At 45.0% G+C, this 7,152-nt stretch overlaps 1 pseudogene, besides 1 other annotated feature; it reads right to left on the bottom strand.

Annotated features, from left to right (window-relative positions):
• Positions 715-1,261, bottom strand: UQCRHP2 (ubiquinol-cytochrome c reductase hinge protein pseudogene 2; annotated as a pseudogene).
• Positions 4,139-4,188: a silencer, noted in NCBI's record as "silent region_11267". NCBI's record gives its function as "represses an Ori minimal core promoter by ATAC-STARR-seq in GM12878 lymphoblastoid cells {active_cell/tissue: GM12878}" and the evidence as "EXISTENCE:reporter gene assay evidence [ECO:0000049][PMID:35858748]".

Here is a 7,152-nt window from a genome sequence, read left to right as displayed (position 1 = left end):
CTACTAAAAATAAAAAAAAAATAAATAAATAAATAAGGAAGGAAAAATAAAAAGAAAAAAGCCGGGTACAAAAGAATACACACTATATAAGTTTACATGAAGTTCAAAAGCAGGCAAACCAAAACCATAATCTTTAGTTGATAAAAGAACAAAGAAAAGGTAAGAATTACCAGAAAAGCTAGGATAGTGGTTACCTTTAACGAGTAAGGGGGAATTCCTGACAGCAGAAAATCCTGCAGGGGGCTTCTAGGATGGTGGCAATATCCTATTTTTGGCCTGGATAATGGGCACATGGATATTGTCTTATAATAATTCTGAGCCAGGCATGGTGGCTCACACCTGTAATCCCAGCACTTTGGGAGGCCGAGGTGGGAGGATCACGAAGTCAGGAGTTCGATACCAGCCTGACCAACACGGTGAAACCTTGTTTCTACTAAAAATACAAAATTGGCTGAGCCTGGTGGCGCACACCCGTAATCCCAGCCACTTGAGAGGCTGAGGCAGGAGAATTGCTTGAACCAGGGAGGCAGAGGTTGCAGTGAGCTGAGATTGGGCCATTGCATTCCAGCCTGGACAACAAAAGTGAAACTCCGTCTCAAATAATAATACTTTTTTAAGCCGTGTGTTTATGTACCATGCACCTTTCTGAATGTGTTTTATTCAATTAAACTATGTGTAATTGCCAATATGCAGTCATTTCTTTTTTTTTGCAGATTGCAGATCACAGAACTTTATTAAGATGAAATCACTGCGAATTACACAGAAGCTACCAGACTAAGCCAAAATCCATGAGGTTCATGTGAACTTACAGTTACAGAAATAAGAAACAAATGGCATATCCAAAACCATAAGGAAATATCCTGATGCCCAGGTGATGAAGCCTGTGGGGAATAAGTCCACACATTTATTTCAAGTTGTTAAAGAGTTTGTGGGCCACGCAATGGTCCGTTGCATGCAAAAAGTCAAAGAGCTCCTCCGTGCAATCCTCTTCTGTATGTGATTGAGAGGATACACACTCATCACAGAGCTCCAGCCACTCCTGGGCCTTTACACATTTCTCCAACTGCTGGCATTGCTCTCTCACTGTTGTTAGGGGATCCTGATGTAGAAACACTAATTCCCCCTCTTCTTCTTCCTCCTCCTTAGGATCTCCAGACTCGGTCAGCATCTTTCGCTCGTCCTCCAGTCCTATGTCTGGCTACGGTTCTGGATTCAACACGAGCAGCAACTGCGGCACCTAATCCACTTCAGGATCTAGAAGGACTTGTAAGAGTCACTCAGCTGATATCCGGCGATCTGGCCTGAAGTCAATATGCCGTCATTATTAACCTACAAAATGAGAATTCATGTGATTCAACCCAGTATTTCACACACACACAAAATAATTTACCAAGGCTGGGCGCGGTGGCTCACGCCTGTAATCTCAGCACTTAGGAAGGCCAAGGCGGGTGGATAACCTGAGGTCGGGAGTTCGAGACCAGCCTGACCAACATGGAGAAAGCCCATCTCTACTAAAAATACAAAATTAGCCAGGCGTGGTGGCACATGCCTGTAATCCCAGCTAATAGGGAGGCTGAGGCAGGAGAATCTCTTGAACCCGGAAGGCAGAGGTTGTGGTGAGCCGAGATCGCACCATTGCACTCCAGCCTGGACAACAACAGCGAAAATCTGTCTCAAAAAAAAAAAAAAAATTACATTAAGTTAAGCAGCCATTCAAAATGATGGTTGTGGCTGGGCACGGTGGTTCACACCTGTAATCCCAACACTTTCAGAGGCCAAAGATGGCGAATTGCTTGAGTCCAAGAGTTTGAGACCAGCCTGAGCAACATAGTGAAACCCCATCTCTACAAAAAATAAAAAACAAAAAAATTAGCGGAGTGCCGTGGTGCTGTAGTCCCAGCTACTTGGGAGGCTGAGGTGGGAGGATCACCTGAGCACAGGAGGTCAAGGCTGCAGTGAAACGTGGTTGCACCACTGCACTCTAGTCTGGGTGACAGAGTGTGACCCTGTCTCAAAAAAAAAAAAAGGAAAAGAAAAAAAGATAGTTGTGAAAACTATTAATAGCTTAATTCACCATTTATTCATTAAGCAAATATCTCCTGGGGTCTTATCATGAACCAGGCATATTTCTTTTTTTTTTTTTTCCCGAGACGGAGTTTCACTCTGTCGCCCAGGCTGGAATGCAAAGGAGCCATCTCGACTCATGGCAACCTCCGCTTCCCGGGTTCAAGTGATTCTCCTGCCTCAGCCTCCCAAGTAGCTGGTACTACAGGTGCCCGCCACCACACCCGGCTAATTTTTGTATTTTTAGTAGAGACGGGGTTTCACCATGTTGGCCAGGATGGTCTCGATCTCTTGTCCTCATGATCTGCCTGCCTCAGCCTTCGAAAGTGCTGGGATTACAGGCATGAGCCACTGTGCCGGGCCTGAACCAGGCATATTTCTAGGCACTGGGAGAAATTATCTCATTGCACATTAATGGGAAGAAGAAAACATAAACAGATAAAGAAATATCTAGAATGTCATATTGTGGTAAGTGCTGTGAAGAAAAACAAAATGGAGTAAGGATATAGGGAATGACAAAGAAGTATTTTAGGAAGCACGGACAAAAAAGCTTCTCTGAGGAGATGACATTTGCAAATACAAGTGAATGACAGGAAGGAGGGAAGCCGAGTGAGACGCTGGGAGAGAGAGCTTGCAGGCAGAGGAAAGAGCAAGTGCGCAGGCCCTCAAGCTGGAAGGTGCTTGGCAGGACTGAGGAACAAGGAGGCCAGTGTTGTTGGATGAGAGTAGGGAAGGGGGGAATAGGAACACATGATACAGGAGAAGGGACCAGGAGCTTGATAGAGTACAGTGTACGTGCCCCAACAAGGACTTTGGATTTCATTCTTTTCTTTCTTTCTTTTTTTTTTTTTTTTTTTTTGAGGCAGAGTCTCTCTCTGTCACCCAGGCTGGAGTGCAGTGGCATGATCTCGGCTCACTGTAACCTCCGTCTTCCGGGTTCAAGTGATTCTCCTGCCTCAGCCTCCCAAGTAGCTGGGATTACAGGCATGCACTACCATGCCCGGCTAATTTTTTGTATTTGTAATAGAGACAGGGTTTTGCCATGTTGGCCAAGCTGGTCTTGAACTCCTGACCTCAGGTGATTCGCCCACCTCAGCCTCCCAAAGTACTGGGATAACAGGCGTAAGCCAGTGCGCCCAGCCTGGATTTCGTTCTGAGAGGGATGAGACGTCATTGGAGGATGGAGAGGAGGAGGTAGGATGATTTGATATGTAGTTCTGAAGGAAGACTCTAGCTGTTCTGTCGCAGAGGAAGAGTAGGAGGATAAGGGTGGAACCAGGGGTTCCTGTTAAAATACTACTGCAGCGTGCAGGTGAGAGATGTAGGGGGCATGGACTAAGAGGGTAGTGGTGGTAGCATGGAGAGTTTTGGAATCAGGATCAACAGATTTTCTAAGTAGAACCGGGATAGCATTTGTTGATGAATTGTATTTAGGGTAAGAGGAAGAGGAGTCAACATGTACGATGCTTTAAAACAAAATTGAGACAATTCTATATAGAGTTTGGTCAAAACTCTTTTAAAAATGTTCTTAAATTACTTTTGGAACAAGACACTTACTTATAGCAAATTAGAAGAACTCGAGTTGGGGAGACACAATATATTCATAGATGGATGGATAGCACCATTTAAAAAAGCAGATGGTAATTGCACATCGTACAAATTGCCCCAGAAGGTAAGGAAAGGAAGAGGCCCCTAGGTCTGGAGGAGGCAGGTAGTGTTGAAAGAGGAAGGTAGAGTTAGACCAGATAGAGGTGGATTGAGGGCTGAGCCTCAGGGCTTAGGACAGGGTGGTAGGAAAAACACTGTCTTTCGAGTGGGAGGAATTAGGCTCAAGTTCCAGTGCAGCCACTTACCAGGTAAGTGAATGTGAAGATTAGATAAAACATCTGTGACCCACCCATTAGGTTCTCAGTAAAGGGGAACAACTATGAACTGTTCTTTTTATAATATCCAGAGTCTTAATTTTCAGATTTTTCTATGATTTTTTTATTTAGGTTGACAAATCCTGTTCACCAGAAATTACAGCAGAGATTGTAGACAGGAAGCTGCAGAGGAAAGAGGCACAATGAGAAATCAAGCTTGGACACATTTGGTAGACTCCTATAGTTAGGTAATAACTCATACAGTTAGGTAATTGCATAACGATTGATAGCCCAGAAATTGGAGCTCATCCAGTAATTCTGTCACATAGTCATGTCTCCCTCTGCTGGCAAAACTTGGTTTGTTTGTTTTTGGTTTTGGTTTTGAGATGTCGCCCAGGCTGGAGTGCAGTGGTACGATCTCGGCTCACTGCAACCTCCACCTCCCAGGTTCAAGTGATTCTCCTGCCTCAGCCTCCTGAGTAGCTGGGATTACAGGCTCGTGCCACTAGGCCTGGCTAATTTTTGTATTTTTAGTAGAGACGGGGTTTCGCCATGTTGGCCGGGGTGGTCTTGAACTCCTGACCTCAGGTGATTTACCACCCACCTCAGCCTCCCTAAGTGGTGGGATTACAGGCGTGAGCCACCGCACCTGGCCTGTTTTTTGTTTTGTTTTTTTAGAGACAGGGTCTCCCTCTGTTGCCCAGGCTGGTCTCAAACTCCCAGGCTCAAGGGATCCTTTTGCCTCAGCCTCCCGAAGTACTAGGATAACAGGTGTGAGTCATTACACCCAGCCAGAACTTGGTTTTTGTAGGGTAAATCCAAACCTGAATTACTTGTATTTGAACATTTGTAGACCCCAGGATTACCAAAGAGTGAACTCTGTCTTCTTTGTAGAATCTTACTGTGGCTGTCATTGGGACCACACTGGAAGAAGGTGGTGGAACGGGAATCCCCTGTGGAAAAATGACTTTTGTTGTTGTTGTTGTTGTTGAGACAGAGTCTCGCTCCATCACCTAGGCTGGAGTGCAGGGGCGCAATCTCAGCTCACTGCAACCTCTGCCTCCCAGGTTCAAGCGATTCTCCTGCCTCAGCCTCCTCAGTAGCTGGGACTACAGGCACCTACCACCACACCTGGCTAATTAAGGTATTTTTGGTAGAGGCAGGGTTTCTCCATGTTGGCCAGGCTGGTCTTGAACTCCTGACCTCAAGCAATCTGCCTGCCTTGGCCTCCCAAAATGCAGGGAAATACAGGCGTGAGACACTGCGCCCTGCCAAGAACTTTCATTATCAAAGGAAATGCAGCAAAGGAGCTTCTTCCTCCCACCAAGCCAGTGACGGGTCTGTATTCAATGAAGTTGTCATTCAAACCAGGACTGGGAAGCAACTGATCTGTACCTTACCATCATAGGAAGCTCACCCCGTAGCACAGGGGAAACACTAGGAGGGCTGCAGGTTTGGAGTCTGTAGACTGTGCCACTTGGCTGCGTTTCCTTTCTTAGTCACTTAATCAGTCTGAAGCTTAGGGTCCTCCTTATAATGTGAGGATATTAATAGTTTCTCCTTTCCTGGGATTTATGTGAAGATCAAGTGAGTAACAAATGTGATAATACTTTATTAACTGTTAATCACACTACAAATCTAAGGGTTTATTACTGTGATTTCTTTGTCTCACCTTTCCATTCTCTTGCCTTGAAGGTTTTTTTTTCTTTTCTTTGAGACAGAGTTTCGCTCTTACTGCCCAGGCTGGAGTGCAATGGCACGATCTCGGCTCACTGCAACATCCACCTCCTGAGTTGAAGCGATTCTCCTGCCTCAGCCTCCCGAATAGCTGGTATTGCAGGCGCCCGGCTAATTTTTGTATTTTTTAGTAGAGACAGAGTTTCTCCATGTTGGCCAGGCTGGTCTTGAACTCCTGACTTTGTTATCCGCCCACCTCAGTCTCCCAAAGTGTTGGGATTACAGGCGTGAGCCACCACGCTCGGCCTTTTTAATACATATTTATTTATTTATTTATTTATTTATTTATTTATTTATTTATTCTTGCCTTGAAGGTCTTTAAACATTCATTCATGGCCAGGTGCGGTGGCTGATGCCTGTAATCCCAGCACTTTGGGAGGCCGAGGCAGGTGGATCACCTAAGGTCGGGAGTTCGAGACCAGCCTGACCAACATGGAGAAACCCTGTCTCTACTAAAAATATACACAAAAAATTAGCTGGATGTGGTGGCGCATCCCTGTAATCCCAGCTACTTGGGAGGCTGAGGCAGGAGAATCACTTGAACCTGGGAGGCAGAGGTTGTGGTGAGCCGAGATCGCACCATTGCACTCCAGCCTGGGCAACAAGAGCAAAACTCTGTCTCAAAAAAAAAAAAATTAATTCATTTGCTTAATGGCCAATATTAACTATATTAACTATATAACAATATTATATAATAAATATATTAACTATATATATATATATATTTTTTTTTTTTTTTAAATAGGGTCTCTCTCTGTTGCCCAGGCTGGAGTGCAGTGATGCAATCTTGGCTCACTGCAACCTCTGCCTCCTGGGCTCAAGCCATCCTCCCACCTCAGCTTCCTGAGTAGCTAGGACTACAGCCACATGCCACCACACCTGACTAATTTTTGTGTTTTTTGTTGAGGTGAGGTTTTGGCATGTTGGCCAGGCTGGTCTCGAACTCCCGAGCTCAAGCAATCCACTGGCCTGGCCTCCCAAAGTGCTGAGGTTACAGGCATGAGCCACCGCCCTCGGGCAAATACTAACTACCTTAATTGCAGCCAGAACTGTGTTGGGTATGGGAAAAGGAGACACAAAGACAAAAAACATGGCCCTTGTCTTCAACACTTTATGGTGAGAGAGACAGACTCAGTTAGCCACAGTACAAGTCAAACTGTGATGAGTACTAGGGGTCTAGCTAAACAGAGAGCTATAGCAACATGAAGAGAGGAAATTTTTTTTCTTTTTTACAAATTAATTAATTTTTTTAAAAGATGGGGGTTTCAGTATGTTGCCCAGGCTGGTCTTGAACTTCAGCGCTTAAGTGATCCACTGGCCTCAACCTCCCAAAGTGCTGGGATTACAGGCATGAGCCATCGCACCTGGCCAAAAGGAAAAATAATTCTGGTAGAGTCAGGGGAGTCAAATAAGTCTTCCCAGAAGAGGTGATGCTCATATGGGACTTTATTTATTTGAAAAAATATTTATTGAGCACAAACTATGTACT

This window comes from Homo sapiens, chromosome 2, assembly GCF_000001405.40.
Source record: "Homo sapiens chromosome 2, GRCh38.p14 Primary Assembly".
In the NCBI taxonomy this organism is placed as follows: Eukaryota; Metazoa; Chordata; class Mammalia; order Primates; family Hominidae; genus Homo; species Homo sapiens.
The sequence above is the reverse complement of the archived record's forward strand: the minus strand, read 5'-3'. Positions and strand labels throughout refer to the sequence as shown.